This window comes from Homo sapiens, chromosome 14, assembly GCF_000001405.40.
Source record: "Homo sapiens chromosome 14, GRCh38.p14 Primary Assembly".
Classification (NCBI taxonomy): domain Eukaryota; kingdom Metazoa; phylum Chordata; class Mammalia; order Primates; family Hominidae; genus Homo; species Homo sapiens.
Genome location: NC_000014.9, coordinates 65,466,548 through 65,487,471, shown reverse-complemented (window position 1 = coordinate 65,487,471; position 20,924 = coordinate 65,466,548). Strand labels below are relative to the sequence as shown.

Below are 20,924 nucleotides of genomic sequence, written 5' to 3'. Positions count from 1 at the left end.
CCTGCCTCAGCCTCCCGAGTAGCTTGGATTACAGGCACCCACCACCTCACCTGGCTAATTTTTGTATTTTTAGTAGAGACGGGGTCTCACCATGTTGGCCAGGCTGATCTCGAACTCCTGATCTCAAGTGATCTGCCTGCCTGGCCTCCCAAAGTGCTGGGATTACAGGCGTGAGCCACCATGCCCAGCCCCAACATTCTTAATAAAATTCAAATTGCCCAATAATTGCTAATGTACATGATCAATTCTCCCCTCCTCTGAGAGCTATCCTTGACTAACTACTCCTCAAACTGAACTTTGCCTGACCCCTACTGTCAAAGCCCTATAAAAAAATTCCACCATCCTTCTCCAAGTTAGAACTCTCCTTCAGGGCCTTATCATGCCCACTATTTTCTAACATAATCTTATGCTAATAGAGTCTAACTGTGCTCTGGCTGATTTTCATCTAAACTATGTAATGTTCCAGAAGGGCAACAGGGCAGGAATTTGCTTCATTTTTCCTTGATGGGTTCCAAGGTAACTGTAAGCACTGCTTCTATGTCCATATAATCACTAGGGAAATATGCAATAGAAAAGTAAAGCTTTCTCTGGTCATTTCTTTAAAATAATAAAGACAAACACTTATTAAGCACACAAACATACTGCTATATACTTCTATGTAATTGATTCTATTTAAGGCTCACTACAACCCTCGGGATAAATATGCTTATCCTCATTTTACACATGCAAAATCAGAAATTTAGTTTAAAAAACTTACCCAGTTAGCAAGTGGTAAATAGAGGATTTAAATCCAATTATCCCAAATCAACTCTTTCTATTCAAGCAAAGCCATAAGCTACACTGCCCTAGCTCCAGCTACCATCTATAAGAAACAAATGCATTCTTCTGAGCCCCCTCTATCTTGTTAGGTCTACTTATTTGCTTTTTTCAATATTTCAGTAAGCCTCCATGACTTAAAGACTTCTTCATGTAATTCATCTCTTATTTCCACCTCTTCCTATATGTTCACCAATAAGGCTTAAGTATTCTATAGCTGTCTCCCATCCAGTAATGCCAAGCTTTACAGTTAAAACAATTGTACTCCTAACAGATTTCATCACAATGCGTTCTCTAAACATTTCTAAGTATTTTTCTGTATTCTTCACATCAGTTCAATCAGACTCCACTAGTATGTACTGTAGTTTATTTTAACCAACTGAAAATAATATTGGAAAAAAATACCTTTTAAAACGTAGGTATTATTATATATGCAGAATAATTGGGGGGATTTTTTAGAAAGAAAATTGCCAATACAATTTGTATATAATAGATACTTGCATTAGCTAGTGCTAAAACATAAAGAAATTGTAATTTTCAAACCAGAATTATTTTTACTACAGAAAATAATGGGAAAAAAAGTTTTAAAAAATGGAAAATAATGGGGTTAAAAATATGCTATATATGGAGGTCAGGATGCAGTAACAACCAGGTTTGTCCTCTCACTTAAAAGAAAAACGGACATAATATAGAAAACAACATTTTTCAAGAAACTGGACATTAAGCAACAAAGAACAGCGATTCTAGAGAGACAGGAAACAAGCAATACCCTTCAATTGTCCCAGCTTACAACCTTTGGAGACTTTTCAGGCTAAGGCCCAGGGAAGAGAAAGAAATCCAAGGGGAGCTAGGTGCGTGGATAAACTAACTTGAGTTGATGAAACAGAAGAGCTTAGAGTCCATGAAGACAAAGGTAGCTAGCCCCGGGAAAGTAGCAGGGTGGCTACGCAGAGAACAAAACCCAGAAATCTGCAGCAGGGCCTCTCAAATATTCAGCACAGTACTGATTAGCTCAAAGTGTGAGACAACTACTGGAGGCTGGGGAAAAAAACATCTGAAAGAATTTGAGAGAATAGTGATGGATAATCATGCAGACTTAGGAATATTGCCTGTTACTACCAGCCAAACTGGTAAAGCTCTTAATTCACAGAGGACATTGAGTGGAGTGCTTAAGAAGGTCTTGCCTCAGTAGTGAGGAATAACTAGCCCTGGATTGAGCATTGCTCCAGGCCTCTTAAAAAAATCATAAAAGCAAGCCTCAAATTATCTCTAAATAACTACATATCCGGAACAAAATTCAACAGTATTTCTAATAATAAAAGAATATCTAACACTCAAAAAAGGTAAAATTCACAATGTCTGTCAGCTGAAGATTACCAGATATGCAAAGAGGCATGAAAACATGAATAAAGCAATCAATTGACTGAAACCAACCCAGATGTTAGCAAACAAGGACATTAAAAATTATTATTATTTTTTTTAATAGAGACGAAGTATTACTATGTTGGCCAGGGTAGTCCTGAATACCTGGGCTCAAGCAATTCTCCCACCTCAGACTCCCAAAGTGCTGGAATTACAGGCATGAGCCACCACGCCTAGTCTAAAAGTTATTCTAAATGCATTTCATATAGCCAAAACATTAAGAGACATGGAAGATATAAAAAAGATCTAAATCAAAACTCTAAAGATGAAAACTATAATATCTAACATAAAAAACTACATAGAATTAACAGATTAGACACCGTAGAAGAAAAAAATCCATGAACTTGGAAAAATACCAATAAAGACGATCCAAAAATACAACACAAAAAGAGAAAAGAACACAAAAAGAATATAAAGAGCATCAGTGAACTGTGGGGCAACATCAAGAAGCCAAATATACATCATAACCAAGTGGGCTTATTTCAGAAACATACAGTTGGATTAACCTTTAAAAATCAAGCAATGTAATCCACCATATTAACAAATTTTTTTATTTTTTTGAGACAGGGCCTCACCCTGTCACCCAGGCTGGAGTGCAGTGGCATGATCTTGGCTCCCTGAAGCCTCTACCACCCAAGTTCAAGCAATCTTTGCACCTCAGCCTCCCGAGTAACTGGGACTACAGGTGTGTGCCACCATGTCTGGCTAATAAAAAACTTTAAAAAAAACAAACATGGGATCATTTCAACACATTAAAAAAAACTGACAAAATTCAAAATCCATTCCTAATTTTCTTTTACACTTTACCCAAACTAGGAATGGAAAAAAACTTCCTCAGCCCAGTAAAGTGCATCCTGAAAAATCTACAACATCATACTTAATTGTGAGAGAATAGATGCTTTCCCCCTAAGATTAGAAACAAGACTAAGATGTCTGCTCTTTTTCTATTCAACATTATATCAGAGGTTTTAGCCAGTGAAATCAGGCAAGAAAAAGAAATAAAAGGATTGTCTTTTTATTAGAATGGAAGAAATAAAGCTCTCTTTATTCACAAAAGACATGCTTTGTCTATGCAGAAAAGCCAATGTAATCTACAAAAAAAGCTACCAGAATGAGTACAGCAGGTTTTCAGGATACAATGCCACTATACAAAAATCAATTGCATTCTTATACATTAGTAATGAACAATTAAAAATTGTATGTTATTGGCCGGGTGTGGTGGCTCACGCCTTTAATCCCAGCACTTTGGGAGGCCGAGGAGGGCAGATACTTGAGGTCAGGAGTTCGAGACCAGCCTGGCCAAGATGGTGAAATCCCATCCCTATTAAAAATACAAAAATTAGCTGGGTGTGGTAGCTGAGCAATCTCAGCTACTCAGGAGGCTGAGTCAGAAGAATCACTTGAAACCAGAAGGTGAAGGTTGCAGTGAGCTGATATCATGCCACCACACTCCAGCCTGGGTGACAGTTACTGACCACACTTGGCCAATAACTCTGTCTCAAAAAAAAAAAATTGATATGTTATTTAAATATTTATAAAAGCATCAAAAAATATAAAATACTTAAAGATCAACCTAATAAAATATGGGTAAGATCAGTACATTGAAAACAATAAAATACTGCTGAAAGAAATTAAACATCCAAATAAATGGAGACATTTTATTCATGAGTCAGAAGACTTGATATCGTTAAGATGTCAACTGTCCCTCAAATTCATCTATAGATTCGATGCAATTCCAATCAAATATTTACATACTGTTTCTTAAATTCATATGGAAATGTAAAGCCATTCCGGAGAGAAAAGCCACACAGTAATTTGAAAAGTGAAAGCTTAATAAAAAGGATCACTAACTATTTAACATGGGGTTGGAGAAACAGCTAATTAACTAATGAGAAATAAAGAGAACTCTTAAGAGTAGCCAATGCTCCCTAGGCTGACACAGAACACCAAGGCAAGAGCTTCCTCCGACCCTAAACCATCCCAGGGCTGAGATCCAGACCTTGTTGGAGAGAACACAGTCCTCTCACTGAATAGCACGGAAGTTGCTGTAGTGCTGCACCAGCAGAACTTACTGGAAGTCTACCTTGTGGAACTTGCCAGAAATCCATTCTTTAGGGTGCTAGTAAAATCTCTTCACACAGAAGTGTCCCACCAAAGATACTCTGTTACAAATCCAACTGAGGGGGAAGTAAAAGAAGTTGCTGGCCTCGGGTCACTGGTTGCTGGGTATTGCTGCCCTCTGAGCACTGCAGAAGCCTGATAATGGTGAAAACATGCATCCTACAGAAACTGTAGAGTGGGAAAGCCAATGTGGGTTGACACTGGAGAAGCTGAGTGTGTTGCTACAGTCCACTAAGCAAGTACACAGAAACGAACAAGCAAAACTTCTCTGCAGTGTTTCTCCAGCACTCTGTACTGGCAAAACTTAACATTGTCAGCTGACAAAAGAAAAATATTTAAAGGGCCTGATCTATTTTCACAGAGCAGGCAAAAAGGATGCATTTGGAGCTGAGAGGCAACAGATTGGTAACCAGCACAATAGCCAAAATTGCTCTGAAAAGGAACAAGCAGTTGTATGGGTTAACGTGACCCGATTTCATGACTTATAAAGCCATAATAGTCAGCATGGTAGTGGCATCAAGAAAGACAAAGAAATCACAGCACAGAAACAATATCCTGGAGTTGTGATCCATTTAGAAATTGATTTTCACAAAGGCTTAATTGGAAAAGTTGGCTTTATGTCTATCCTGAGCTACTGTTTAGTTGGTTATAGAGCAAAATTACATTCAGCTTCTTCTTGTCATGTAAGAGGAATTTGGAGGGTGTTGCTTAAAATTTTATTCCACCTGTACATTTGTCACTTTAAAATTAAAACTGAGCTGGTATGAGAGACAAAAAAAAAAGAAAGACAAAGAGGTCAGTGGAACAAAATAAGAGTCAGAAATAAACCCACGCGTATACAGTCAAATGATTTTTGACAAAAATCAAAAGGACACAAACCACTTCAGTAAATGATGCTGAAATAACTGCATGTCTCTACCCCCCAAAAAAGAATTTCTATCCAATTTTTATCCCATATAAAAAAATTAACTCAAAATGCATCATAGGTCTAAATACAAAACCATAAAACTTCCAGGAGAGAACTTCTATGCCCTTGGATTAGGCAAATATATCTTAGATACATAAACAAAAATAGAATCCATATGAGAACAAACTGATAGATAAACACAATCCATATGAGAACAAACAAATTTCATCATAATTTAAAATGTGTGCTCTTCAAAAGACACTATTAAGAGAAAGAAAAGACAAGCAACAGTCCAGGAAAAATACATCTGCGAAGCACGTATCTTATAAACAACTTTGATCAAGAATATAAACCGCTCTCAAAACTCAATAATAAGAAAACAAACAACCCAATTTAAATAATGGCCAAAATATTTGAACAGATATTTTACCAAAGAAAATATACAAAGGATAAATAAACACAGGAATGGACAGCCCCTGCCCAAAAGTATATACTAGAAGTTCCATTTTAAAAAAAAACTTTAGAAAAGGCACTAAATTTATAGTGACCAAAAGCAATTCAGGATTTTCCTGGAGACAAGGAAGGATGGGTAGTAGTGGGGGAAAAGATTACAAGGGGGCAAGAAGAAATCTGTGGAGGTAATGAGTATGGATTCACAGATGTATACATATGTCAAAACTAATCAAATTGTTCATTTCAGATGTGTGCAGTATTTTTTATGCCAATCACACCTCAGCAAAGCTGTTTTAAAAAAAAATCACACTCCATTAACCCACTAGAATACAAACTATAAGGAAATCGATCAGAAAAAAAAAAGTATATGTTACGGAATTATAAATCACTTAAAAAGGAGTTCACGTGATTAGCATCTTTAAAAAGTATCCCTAAAACTCAACAACAAAAAATCTGACTCAACAGTGGGCAAAGGACTTAAATAGGTATTTCTCCAAAGAAAATATGCAAATGAACAGTAAGCATAAGAAAAGATGCTCAACATCACTTATCATTTCAAAAATGCAAATCAAAACCACAATGAGATACCACTTCACACCCATTAAGATGATGATGATTATAAAAAAAAACCAGCAGAAAATAAGTGTTGGTAAGAATGTGCTGAAATTAGAACCCTGTGCAGTGCTGATGGAAATGTAAAATGGTGTAGCCACTGTGGAAAACAGTATGATGTCTCCTCAAAAAATTGAAAAAAGAATTAAAGAGGCTGAAAACGATGGTCATGCCTATAATTCTAGCACTTTGGGAGGCCAAGGCAGGCAGATCACTTGAGGTTAGCAGTTCGAGACCAGCCTAGCCAACATGGTGAAACCCCATCTCTACTAAAAATACAAAAAAAAATTAGCCAGTGTGGTGGTACACGCCTGTAGTCCCAGCTACTTGGAAGGCTGAGGTAGGAGAATCATTTGAACCCAGAAGGCAGTGGTTGCAGTGAGCCGAGATAGTACCACTACGCTCCAGCCTGAGTGAGTGAGACTCCATTTAAAAAAAAAAAATAGAATTACAGTATGATACCAGTGATTCCACTTCTGGATACATACCCAGAAGAATCAAAAGTGGTGTCTGAAAAAGTTATTTGTGCCAGGCACCGTGGCTGACACCTGTAATCCCAATACTTTGGGAGGCCAAGGTAGGCAGATCCCTTGAGCCCAGGAGATTGAAACCAGCCTGGGCAACATGATGAAACCTGTCTCTACAAAAAATACAAAAATTAGCTGGGCATGATGGAGTGTACCTGTAGTTCCAGCTACTCTGGTGGCTGAGGTGGGAGGATCACCTAAGCCTGGGGAGGTTGAGGCTGCAGTGAGCTATTAAGATGTTCATGCCACTGCACTCCAGCCTGGGTGACAGAGTGAGACCCTGTCTTTAAAAAAAAAAAAAAAAAAAAAAAAAATCACAGTTCATTTCTGCAGTTTGCAACAGTTTTACTACTACCAAGATGGATGTTATCATAATGATGGGATAGAAAGGGCCGATTCAGATAAAAAAGCAATCAGTCAATAAGCACTTCTAAAGCTCCTAATTAGGGCCAGATACTATGAGGCACTAGGGACACAAAGATAAAGAATCCCTATTATTAAGGGATTTCTGTTCTAATCACATTTACCCATAGTCAAGAAATCCAAACATGTGGTCATTAATGGCATCATTTCAAACTGATTCCAATGCCACCCAGAACCAATCATAGTAAGAAGTTTCCAAAGGATAGCAGCAAAATATTTGGTTTCTTCATGTAAGAAAATTTTAAATCCAATTCCCCCATTCTCAAACTGAAAAGAACCATTTCTCAAAGATAACATTAATGAGACAATAGATAAAAAATATGAATTAAAAAAACCTTGCAGATCTATGATACATTTAACATCTTGCTCATGTTTGCAACAGGCATAGTAATCAAAATTACCCCACCTTTCTGGACACCAATTCTTGTTTTTAGTCCTTATCTTCTAGCCCCATAATTCAACTTATTGCTGGTCAAAATAGAATCTTCATATGTGGAAGAACAGAGATCAAAAACAAGCAAAGAAGGAAAAACAGGAGGGGAGGGGGATAGAAGGGGAAGAAAGAGGGAGAGCAGGGGAAAGGGAGGACAGGACGGGAGAAAGTGGAAGTAGGAGAAGGAGAAAGGAAAGAAGAAAGGGAAGGAGGGAGGAAGAAATGCAGACATCAGTAAATTATGGAAAATGCTGAATCTCACTCATAATCAAAGAGATCCCAACAAACTAAGAGATCCTTTCCACCAACTGAGAAATACTAAAAGCTCAAGAATACCCAGTGTTAGAGAAAATGTGAAGAAAGGTAACCGTGTAAATTGGTACAACCTTTCTGCAGGGGATTTGTTTCTATGAATCAACAACCTAAAAAATAATTAAATCATTTGGGCCAACCATTCTATCTGAAGGAGTTAATGTTAAGGAAAAAGTAGATTAAATTGTTTGCATACATTTACATACATGTATGGATATAGACGCCATGTATTAATATATGCCATAGACATCTGTAGTTTTTTCAAAGCTTCTCACAGAATTCTTATGATAATCTACTTTTGGAACCATGTCCCAGGGAATGAATGTATGTATTGAAGGAACTAACATTTAGTTAGCAACTTTTGTGAGCCTGGCATTATACTGACACATACATCATCTTGTCTAACCAAAACACATTAAAAGCTAAAGGGGATGTTTTAAAAAGTATTCCTAAAATACTGATAACCAAAGCCTAACAGGGAATTTTCACTGTTATATTCATACAATCAATTAACAGAATTTATGTTCCTTTGTTGTTTAAAGCAAAAACAGACAAAAGAGTTTATCTGTGCAAAGAATGATTCATCAATTAGGCAGCACTCTGAACCATAAAAGGTTTGAAGAGCTTCATTCACAGCAGTGTGGGCTGTAAGCTTTATAGGCTGAACACGGAAGACAAAGAAAACATATCTCATTGGTCAGAGTGGAAAGACACTAGTTAGAGATTACTTAGGTGGTTTCTAGTTGGCAAAATATCTAGTTTCCTTTTACTTTCTAAGTTGGGCTTTGGTTTGCTTAGACAGGAACTTAAACAGCTAGAGCCACCCAGCCTAGTAGCCTCCCAACTAAAAATTTAACACTGCAAAGACAATTTCTAGTTACCATCTCAAAATTTCCCATTAATTTCTCTCACAAAAATAGGAGCTATCCCCAAATTAGAAAAAAAAATCACACTTAAGAATTCAGAATATCAAGTAAAAACTAATGGGAATAGGGAGTTTTTCCTATTGGGGATATTTGTGTTATACTTACCAGTTGAGCATCTCAAATCCACAAATCCAAAATGCTCCAGTGAGCATTTCTTCAGAGTGTCACGTCGGTTTCAGATTTTGGAACGTTTTGGATTTCAGATTTGGGATGCCTGACCTGTATATATAGGGTTCAGTACTATCCATGGTTTCAGGTATCCACTGGGGGGCCTTGGGGACTCCTGTGTATCAAATTCCCTCAAGTCAGCAACTCAGAACCTAAAGAACAAGAATACTATTGTTCTCAAAACCTCAAAGATAGATACTATCTGGGGTAGAGGGGGGAACGCTCTCTTTAAAGAAGAGTATGTCCAAGAAGAAAGACAAAGAAAAATCAATTAAATGACTATAATGGAGTTTACTTAGAGGGCTCTCAACATTTTACAGACCTGGTTCTAGAAGCTAGAATCTTCTGATTAAAGAGTTTATAACAGATACAATCTAGACTTGGCTATATTAGTTTCTGACTTTTCTGCTGCCTTCACTGATGCCTCGTAACGTTTAAACCATGATGCTTTTTACACCTAGAACTCCTTTGAGGGGGGTAAAAAAAAAAAAAGACATCACAAACCCTTAGTCATCTTTCCCTACAATTTGGTTCTATAGTTCAGATTCCTCTGACTTGACACCAAATGAGACAAACTTACCCAGGCTAGAAGATATGAGAAAAGTTCTCTCATCAACTCTTGCTATATGATTTGCTCTTAGGCAAATCTAACCCGTGCCAGAATTTAGAAGCTGACCAACAGCTTATTTCCTCTGTACTACTGTTTAACAATATTAGGGTTTTTCAAAAAAAAAATTAGCAAAGCTGTAGTCACTTGATTAGCTGCAGGTCAGATAGACACACCCAGAACAGGTCATCCTATAGGAAATCTCCTCTATATAGAAATATCTGTATAAAAATAGAATTGACTGACTTAGGTATTTTGCTAAAGTTTAAACAATGCAAAAATATATGCTCAATGAATAAATGACTAATCAAAAAGGTGCTCCTGAGCATCTAGTCTTAGCTCAAGGTGGCCCCAAGGTATTCATAGTCTCCAACAACTATATGTTTGAAGTCAGAGACCTAGGGAACTCTTATTTAGTTAACAATAGTAATAATTAACATTTATTGAGCCATTACTTCATGCCAGGAACTGTGCTAAAGACTCTGCATTTTTTATCCATATTTTACAGATGTGGAAAATTAGCATCGAAGTTACTATTCAAGGTTGCACAGATCTTAAGTGACCAAGTCAGGAGTCAGACCACACACCTGCTTTACTCCACAGCTTATGTGCTCTCTAGGGCAATTCCAGAATTCAAACAAACACCCTGATGGCCATAACTGTCCACAGAAATACTCAGAATCTTCAAGAGTGCCAAAAAAGCTTATATTTAAGTAGAGAAAAACTTTACATTTAGGTTGACTTACATTTGGAATAAATCTAATTCTAAAAATTCAATCATCCAGTATATAATTTACAGTGAAAATTTCCTAATGGTAGCTTAGAAGTTGCTGAAGTTTATGCATAAAGAATTAAGGGATAAAGATATTTAGAAGAGCTTAGTCCCATATAATGTATTCAGACCAGAGCCATTTCTGAAATGAGTAAGGTTCCAAGATCTCAGTATTACTGGGCAGAGACTTCCACTATCAGATCTATTTCTATGCTTGAGCCCAGAAGTTTAGAGATTGCAGTGAGCTATGATAGCGCCACTGTACTCCAGCCTGGGAGACCTACAGCAAAACCCTGTCGCCAAAAAAAAAAAAAAAAAAAAAAAAAAAAAAAAAATCTACTTCTTTAACTCTACCACTTGAACAAAGAATTCAAGGATCCTCTCCTTTGTGAGACCTTTCCTGACCCTCTAGACACAATTCATTACTCCTTTCTGTGTGCTACTACTGACTTTTACACCTACTTCAGTTGTACTTAACACACTAAGCAAAATTGAGTTTCACACAGCTCAAAACATTTCACACATTAACAGACTGACATCCTCACACTAACTTCAGAACATCAAATTCAATCTTTTAGATATCACCTTATTAACAATGATTTTGAGTTACTGCATGAAGCTTTGTCATTGCACAATGCTAGGAAATTGGAAGAAGAGGTATGAAGCCAGGCCTCCCTGAAGTTTAGGGGGACATGACACTATCCTGATCTATGATGAAAAAATAATAATTCTTCCTACCCCATCCTCCAGTCCTGCTCTGGACAAACCACTAGTCACATATACTTGGCAGCTGGGAGAGGGAAAAAGATGAGAGTGAAGGAGTAATTGGAGTTGTAGTTCTAATATCCTATAGTGTAGGTGCTCTCTTATCTCATCTCTTACCCTTGACTTATCACCAAGTCTCTGATTTCTCTCTTGGGACTGTGCAGGCCTACAAGTATTGCTGGGTTCTAAGCAGAAATCCTAGGTGATCAAACAACTAAAAGGCACCCATTAAGCACCAAGCTCTTACTACCACAGCAGGGTGAGAAAGACCCTTTCCCTCTCAACTTCCTATACCTACAATCCCAGTAGCAGGCCTCAAATTCCAGAGGTTGCCACCTCACCCCCTACAAGGAGGTTGGGCCCAAGACTGATTTCCTCAGCCCCAAATATGCCTAGAAATCCCATCCTTACACTTTTTGCCCCCCAAGACAAGGTCTCACTCTGTTGCGGAGGCTGGATTGCAGTGGCTCTACCATATAGAGCCTGAGCTCTATATGGTAGAGCTCAGCCTCACTGCAGCCTCACTGCAGCCTCAAATACCTGAGCTCAAGCGATCCTCTGCCTCAGCCTCCTAAGTACCTAGGACTACATGCACACACCACCATGCTTGGCTAATTTTTTTAAATTTTTTGGTAGAGACAGGGTCTCACTATGTTGCCCAGGCTGGTCTCAAAATCCTGGCCTCAAGCAATGCTCTGCCTCTACCTTCAAAAGTGCTGGGATTACAGGCATCATCCTGACACTTTTAATGTTATGCAGCAACTAAGATTTCTAATTCCAAAGGAGATAACATGCCCAGGAACTAGAATTGAGTATTTTATAATAATAAATTTTAGCTCTGTGAAATGACTCTCCATACAAACACCCAAATACCTCCTACGCCTATGACATGTGGAATTTTTATTTTCAATCACATTTTGGGAGACATGTTATTATAGAGGAAATCAGGGGACTTCCTGTACTGTAATTATTAACTTATATTTCTAGTTGACCTTCTAAATTGTCAGTTTCCTAAAGGCAGGGTCGTTATCATTTTGTATTCCAAATTCATAGTAGTTGTTAACTACGCTTGTTGAGGAAAAAGCGAGACAAGATTGGGGGAAAGACTGGGAACAAGATACAAAGAAATATGAGATCATCCTTGTATGCATAACTTTAGATTCCATACTAGTAGATATTCTCAAGTGATATTTACTTTCCCAAAAAAATCCTGTCTTCCAGCCAGGTGCGGTGGCTCACACCTATAATCCCAACACTTTGGAAGGCCGAGGCAGGAGGACTGCTTGAGCTCAGAAGTTCCAGACCAGCCTGGCAATACAGCAAAATAAAAATAAACAATAAATCTTATCTTCCCTGAACAAATCCACAAAAATGAAGGATGAATATCAGTTGAGAAATTTCACTACTTTTACAATAAAATGAACTGTGTAGTATTTTCTTCTCTCAGGCTCACCAAGGTATTAGGAGAAAGATGGTTATTTTTCAATCTTGGCAAATAACTTGAAGATGACAAGAGTAAAAAAGCCACATGGATTTATAAAATCTCTAAGAAATAATAAGGCTAGAAGATTAGGTACAACAGAAGATCTTTTTTAATTTTTTATTTATTTATTTATTTTTGAGACAGAGTTTTGCTCTTAGAGTGCAGTGGCACAATCTCGGCTCACTGCAACCTCTGCCTCCCAGGTTCAAGCGATTCGCCCAGCCCCATGAGTAGCTGGGATTACAGGTGGGAGCCAGCACGCCTGGCTTTTTTTTTTTTTTTTCAGTAGAGACAGGTTTTCACCATGTTGGTCAGGCTGGTCCCGAACTCCTGACCTCAAGTGATCCGCCCGCCTCAGCCTCCCAAAGTGCTGGGATTACAGGCGTGAACCAACCTGCCTGGCCTCTTTTTTTTTAAATATCTTTTTTATTTCAATAGCTTTTGGAGTACAAGTGGTTTTGGGTTACATGGATGAAATGTATAGTGGTGAAGTCTGAGATTTTACTACACCCATCACCAAAGTAGCATACATTGTACCCAATATATCGTTTTTTATCCCTTATCTTCTTCCTATTCTCCCCGCGTCTCAGTCTCCAAAGTCTATTTTACTATTCTGTATGCCTTTGCGTACCCATGACTTAGCTCCCGCTTGTGAGAACATATGGTATTCAGTTTTGTATTCCTGAGTTACTTCACTTAGAATAATGGCCTACAGCTCCACCCAAATTGCTGCAAAAATGTTATTTCATTCTTCTTTATGGCTGAGTGGTATTACATGGTGTACATATACCTGTATAGAATAGAAATGCTTAAAACAATCCTCTAATAGCTTTTACAGATGAGCAAGTAGGGTCAGAATCATCAAATTCACCATCTCAGTGACACCAGAAGTTTCTAGAAGTCTCTAGTCATACTGATTTTCCACTTAAATTGCTGGACCCAATTCAGTTCTAAACATTAGTTTAGGGAGAAGTCAGAAGAATGCAGAGAAGTCTAATAATCCTGACAAAGATGCCAAATTAAGCCTACAAACATTAAATTGGTAAGGAAAAGTTCAATTTGTGAGTAAAATATTACAAGAATTAAACACAACATATTAAATTATTGGACTACAGTCAATTTACATCCTAAGTATGAGTGTCTAGAATACCAAGTTTGGCACATATAGGAGATCATTTTTATCACCTAGTCACAAAACTACAATTTTTGGGAATAAAACTGTGTAAACTGCCGTGGCAATGTAAGTCCAAAAGCATTGTTTTCTAATTATATAAGTAAGAAAAAATTTCTAATCCCGTTTTTCAAGATCCAATAAAACTTAATTAGTCCTGTGAAAGAGAACACAAAATGCTCCCCAAATGAAGGTGAGAGATAGAAAAGACAGACAAAAAGAGAAACAGAGAGAGAGACAGACTTCTGAAAACCCAAAGATATGGTACAAACATGGAAAAGCTAAATGTACAAAGATATTACAGCAATACGTACAATAAACTATCAGTCTGACCAACCTAACAGTACCTCACTCAATGAGAAAACATTGTTAGAAATGGGAAACATTTACACTGTTAACTGAAATAAGGCACAAATTTGAAAAGAAATTATTATTATAACTTTGTAAAAAAAATTGTGTATGAAAAAGGACTAAAAGGCACATATACCAACATGGTAACCACAGTTATGTTAAGATCATGGGACTGCATGTAATTCTTTTACATTCAATAATAATAATAAATAAAAGTTATAAATAAGTTGTCTAAATTATCTATAATGTGATCTTTTCAATGTAAAGTTTTCTAAAGAAAATAAAATTATATCTTACATTTAATTTACAACAATGTCTTTTTCTACTTCAATTTCTACTAAGATATTTGAGCACTAAATTCATTATATGAACTAAGTTTTTTACCATATCACAAAAAAAATAAGAATAAACATTACCTTATTCTGTGCTCATAAAAATAATTAGTGGGCAATCTACTAATTAAGAAATTCAATGTAAATGAGTCATCAAATTAATTGGTTCCATAAATCCAAAGTATCAGCATAGGGCTTTAATAACCATCCTCAGCATCATCAGTATACTTATCAGAAGTGCAATTAGTAAAGCCTGACATGACCCTACACCCAAAAAGGCTATAAAAATAAAGTTGTTTTTTTTTTTACAGTATAAGAATATAAAAATAAACCTTTGGCCATCAACATAGAAAACAAAGGCTGCTGTTGCCCTCAATCTATACTTGAAAACAGAATAGTAAATAGCCTGAGTCTATGCTATCACTTAGATGATTGTCCCTCCTGTTGAAATTTGATCTCAATGTTGGGGGTGGGGCCTAATGGGAGATGTTGTTGGGCATGGTGGGGAGGGGTCAGAACCCTCAAGAATAAATTAATGCTCTTCCTCAGGCATGCTTGAGGTCTCACTCTATTTGTTCCCCCAAGAGCTGGTTGTTAAAAAGAGCCAGGGCCCCTCCTCCCACCCTTTTCTCCTCTCTCATTTTGTGCACAAGCTGGCACCTCTTTGCCTTCTGCTATCAGTGGAAGTAGCCTAAGGCCCTCACTACAAGCCGATCCTGGTGCCATACTTCTTGTACAGCCTGCAGAACTGTGCGGTAAATCAAACTCTTTATAAATTACCTAGCCTCAGGTATTCCTACATAGCAACACAAAACAAGACAAGGCAGTCAATTCATCAATAATAAGAATCAGTCCTATGATCAACTTCCCTCTGGAGAAGTTTTTTAATCTTTCTTGCAAATTAGAATATATTATCCCCAAAATGTGCAGACCTGATGTCAGAAAGAGATAAAATTCTTAATGAACAATACTGCCAAATGAGATAAAGGATACTGTAATAAGTCTTTTGACTAGTTACAAAAGCATCAAAAATGGTCAAAAAATAACCTTAAGTACAGTTGTAAAGAGCTTGTAATTCATCACTCCCAACCTCACGACAAGAAAAAAAGCTGGGGGTAAAAAAAAAAAAACTGATAATCCAACTCTTCTTAGAGCCATCAGAGAATTGAGGTCAGAGGGCAAACTGCTGCTCTAAAACCTGGAGAGACAAGACAGGCAGATAGAGAATCACAGTGTGCAGGAAGCAGAAGTCCAGGAATACAAGCTCTCAACTGAAGCCAGCATCAGTAGGAACACTTGAAACAGTAATTGTGGACTAGCTTGAGAGTTAAAAACTGTAAGGGGACCAGTCTTACAGGGGTCCCCATACTTTCCTGAGTTTTACCTCCAGGAGCCCTACCAGGTTCTCATGGTAAAGATCTGAAAAAAAACCCCTCCTGCTTGCAGCAGGGGAAGAAGAAAAACCATTTTGAAATACGCCAGGAACTTTATTTCTCTTAAAAGGTATTCCAGAAAAGGAAACTATTTTACCAGAACCTAACCAACTGGCTTTTAGATTGCCTAACCTACTACGGTTTTACAGTGCCTAACCAACCGGAGGGAAGGGAAATACCCAACTCCAGCCCCATCTATCCTTTGACCGAGAAAAAGAGACAGTTACTCAACTCAGGCTCACAGTTGGTAGAGGGCAGAGGGATGAGGGGGAAAGTTCTATAGTCCTGAGATCTAATTACAGGACTATAGAACTTTCCCCCTCATCCCTCTACCCTTACCACCACATCAGTACAGCTCTTGTACAACACAGGATTACAACTTAAAAACCTGCAAGCCTCAGACCCCATTTAAGGATTCTTTACAAAAACCCAAAGACAACAGGGCAGATAAAAGCAAGGACAGTAGAAGAAATTTTAGCCTCTAATAGTGATGGCGGTGGCTTTCTGGTACATGGACGGCACAGGGAGAGGCGGACAGACCCCCTCCCTCAACAGCCCGCCGCCCTCTGTGCAGCACAGTCAAGCAGAGAGCAGACCGATGCAGAGCTGAGGCTGAGCTTCAGGGGCCTGAGGCAGGAAGTGGGAGCGGTGCCCACTTCAGGGACCAGCCAGTGACACAGCCACTGCGCCCACCCCACTGAGGGTGCCAGGTTCCTGGGCCTCAGGAGGAGGCTCTGTGCAGGGCTGCCCGGGGCTACATCCCCAGGGTCCACCCCACATCAGGCGACTGCTGAGCCTGCCACTCCCAACAGCCAGGCCGGACAGTTATCTGCTCTGCCTGGGCCACTGAAGCGCCAGGGCAACTGGGGTAGCTCCCGGCGATGTCACCCCTGCCCCGGATCCCAGCCCAGGTCCAGCAAGGATCTGGAGCCCCTGTCTCAGGCTGAAAGGGGGCGGAGCCAGGGCTGCATGCTCCACAGTGCCAGTGGGAGCCAGGAGCAGGCAGCAGCCCAAGCCACCCAAGCCTGGGTGGTAGACCCAGGCCTCCATGTGCTCTTGGGGACTGGAAACAGGCAGGAGCCCTGTCCCCCAACCCCATACAGCTGCAGCTACCCAAGTCAGGGTTGTGGACCCAGGCCTCCGTGTGCTCTTGGGGGCTCAGGAAGGCCCCCCTTGCCTTTGCAGGCTCGGAAATGCCTGTTCCCGCTGCCACTTCCCGCACCGGCTCCAATGTGGCAGGTTCTCAGAGTGGGGTTGGAGCCAAGCCTGGATATCATCACAGCCCAACAGGATATGCGCATGCTCAGGCCCTGCCGCCTAGGCCCCCTCTGAGGAAGCTGAGGTGGAGAGCTGCTCCATGCTGGCAGGCAGGTGCCCCTTGGCACAAGCAGCCTGGGAGCCATGGAAAGTGGCAGGAAGCAGACAGGCTCCTGGGTGGAAGGGGGCACGTCCCCAGATAGACCCCACCTTCAGGCCAGGGAGGGCCTGAACGTTGGGGACCGGGCTGCCAGTCCCGCAGACTGCAGTGGGGGCTTGTGGTGCCTTTTCCAGCCCACCCATGGCCACCGATGTACCAATTGACACACTTCCTCCCCACTGAGGTCCATAAAAGCCCCGAGATCAGCCAGAGCAGGGCAGAGGCCAGAGAGACAGCCAGATGACTAGCTGCAGAGAGGAGCTATCGTCTCTGCTGAGAGCTGGGAAGTCAATGGGGACCTGCCTGCAGAGAGGAGCCACTCACTCCAGGGCCTCCTCTCTGCTGAGAGCTGAACACTGGATGAGACAACCTGCCTATAGAGAGGGGCTGCCCTCTGCAGCTCTCCTCTGAGCTGTTCTAACACTCAGTAAAGCTTCTCTTTGTCTTGCTCACCCTCCACTTGTCTGCATACATAATTCTTCCTGGACACAGGACAAGAACTCGGGCAAAGGCGCCACTGGCCACAGAGGTTTCTAGACAGAAAAGCAACACCTTAAAGATCCCGTAACATTTGCCTCCGATACCACAGCCAGAACAAACACTAAACACAGCCTGACTTCTAAACAGATAAACATAAAACCTCACACTAAAGGCCTATTTACCTCAGTTCCTTTTACCTGATACATTCTGTCTGGCTATGAAAAAAAATTATGAGGCACTATAAAGGCAAAAAATACAATCTGAAGAAACAAAGCAAGCCTCGGAAACAGACTCGGATGTGGCAGAAATTTTTACCAGGAATTATCAAATTATCACCAGGAATTTTTTTTTATATATATGTTTTGAGACAGGGTCTCACTGTTACCCAGTCTGGAGTACAGTGGTGATTCACAGCGCACTGTAGCCTTGAACTCCTAGGCACAAACAATCTTCCTGCCACAGCTTCCCAAGCAGGTAGGACTACAGGTGCATGCCACCACCATGCCCAGCTAAGTCCTTTTTTCTAAGACCGGCCTGGGCAACATTGGAGACCCTGTTTCTACGATTTTTTTTTTAATCGCCAGGCATGGTGGCACACACCTGTAGTCCTGGCTACTTGAGAAGCTGAGGAGGGAGAATCACTTGAGCCTAGGAGTTCAAGACTGCAGCGAGTTATGATCACGCCACTACTGCACTCCAGCCAGGGTGACAGAGTGAGATCCTGTGGAAAGAAAGGAAGAGTAAAGAGAAGGAAAAAACAGTGAAGAGGGGAGGCGAGGAAGGGGAGTGTACAAATCAATAACACTGTAACAGGAAAGAATGTCTTTAGTAAGAAACACCAAACCTGGAAGTTCAGAGAACACCAAGCAAGATAAATACCAAAATATTTACATAGGCAAATGATAGTGAAGCTGCAGAAAATAAGACAAAGAGAAAACTAAATCAAAAGCAAAACTTTAGTTTTTTCCTTATTAACTTTAAGACCAATAAGATATCTCGAAAGAAGCAAGAGGTAAAGAAAAAAATCAACACACACAGAAAACATCTTATCCACAGAGAAATAAAGAATTAGATCAAACTTTCTCTTCAGAAACCATGCAAGCAAAAAGAGTGAAGTGAAATATTTAGTGTTAAAAAAAAAAAAAAAAAAATCCAACCTTTCGGCCGGAACCACCATCTTCCAGTAATTCGCCAAAAGGACGAACACAAAGGGAAAGAAGAGAGGCACCCGATATATGTTCTCTAGGCCTTTTAGTAAACATGGAGTTGTTCCTTTGGCCACATGTATGCGAATCTATAAGAAAGGTGATATTGTAGACATCAAGGGAATGGGTACTATTCAAAAAGGAATGCTCCGCGAGTGTTATCATGGCAAAACTGGAAGAGTCTGCAGTGTTACCCAACATGCTGTTGGCACTGTAAGCAAGTTGTAAACAAACACGTTACTCAGCATGCTGTTGGTATTGTAAACAACTTGTCAACAAACAAGTTAAGGGCAAGATTCTTGCCAAGAGAATTAATGTGCGTATTGAGCACATTCAGCACTCTAAGAGCCAAAATAGCTTCCTGAAACACGTAAAGGAAAATGATCGGAAAAAGAAAGAAGCCAAAGAGAAAGGTACCCGGGTTCTACTGAAGCACCAGCCTGCTCCATCCAGAGAAGCACACTTTGTGAGAACCAGTGGGAAGGAGCCTGAGCTGCTGGAACCTATTCCCTGTGAATTCATAGCATAACAGGTGTTAAAAAAAATAAAAGACCTCTAGACTGGCTGGGCACGGTGGCTCACACCTGTAATCCCAGCACTTTGGGAGGCTGAGGCGGGCAGACCATGAGGTCAGGAGTTCGAGACCAGCCTGGCCAACATAGTGAAACCCTCTCTACTAAAAATACAAAAAATTAGCTGGGCGTGGTGATGGGCGCCTCTAATTCCAGCTACTCAGGAGGCTGAGGCAGGAGGATCGCTTGAACCCAGGAGGTGGAGGTTGCAGTGAGCCAAGATCACACCACTGCACTCCAGCCCGGGCGACAGTGTGAGACTCTGTCTCAAAAATAAAAAAGAAAAGAAATACAAAAAATTAGCCAGGTGTGGTGGTGCGCACCTGTAGTCCCAGCTACTTAGGAGGCTGAGGCAGGAGAATCGCTTGAACCCGGGAGGCAGTGGTTGCAGTGAGCCAAGATCGTGCCACTGCACTCCAGCCTGAGTAACAGAATGAGACTCCATCTCAAAAAAATAAAATAAAATAAGACCTCTGGGCTGTTAAAAAAAATAAAATAAAATACCAAACTAGAATGCCTATAGAATCCCAGCAAAAGTATCCTCCAAAAGTGAAGAAATAAAGACTTTCTGAAATAAAAACTGGGAGAAATGAAACCCAATAAACATGACTTGCAAGAAATGTTAACAGAAGTTATTCAGAAAGAAGGAAAATTATATAGATCAGAAATATGGATTACAAAAAGAAAGGAAGAGTGTAGAGGAAAAAAATAAAGGTAAAACTAAATCTTTTGTTTTTCTGATCCTTAATTCATCTAACAGATAACAACTTGTTCAAAATAATAATAGCAACAATATATTTAGTGACTGTAAATTATGGAAAAGTAAAACAAATAAAAGTAATGTTATAAGGAATGGGAAAAAGGAACTGACAATACTAAGTTGTAAGGTATTTGCACTACCCATGAAGTGGTAAAGTGTTATTTAAAAAGTGAACTTGGATCAGTTTAACTGTGTAATTATTGCAAACTGTGGGGCAACAACTAAAAAATAATTTCATTTTATTCTTTTTTTTTTTGAGACAGTCTTGCTCTGTCGCCCAGACTAGGGTGCAGTAGTGCGATCTTGGCTCACTGCAACCTCCACCTCCTGGGTTCAAGAAATTCTCCTGCCTCAGCCCCCTGAGTAGCTGGGATTACAGGCGTGCGCCAGCACACCTGGCTAACTTTTGTATTTTTAGTAGAGACAGGGTTTCACCATGTTGGCCAGGCTAGTCTC

General features: G+C 39.8%; 1 protein-coding gene, 1 non-coding gene and 1 pseudogene across 14 annotated transcripts in view; 1 reads left to right on the top strand and 2 right to left on the bottom strand.

Annotated features, from left to right (window-relative positions):
- Window positions 1–20,924, bottom strand: part of FUT8 (fucosyltransferase 8) — a 387,280-nt gene that overhangs the window by 256,650 nt on the left and 109,706 nt on the right. Inside the window, exon 1 of one of the 13 annotated variants that reach the window (XM_047431180.1) lies at window positions 7,688–19,062. The exons of the other annotated variants lie outside the window; for them this stretch is intronic. The gene's annotated coding sequence lies outside the window, so the exon portion shown is untranslated. Of the gene's footprint in view, window positions 1–7,687; window positions 19,063–20,924 lie in introns of those variants that run through there. 13 annotated transcript variants of the gene reach the window in all.
- MIR625 (microRNA 625) lies at window positions 16,286–16,370 on the bottom strand. The gene has a single exon (NR_030355.1). It is a non-coding gene; the product is annotated as a microRNA 625 (primary transcript).
- RPL21P8 (ribosomal protein L21 pseudogene 8) lies at window positions 19,088–19,698 on the top strand (annotated as a pseudogene).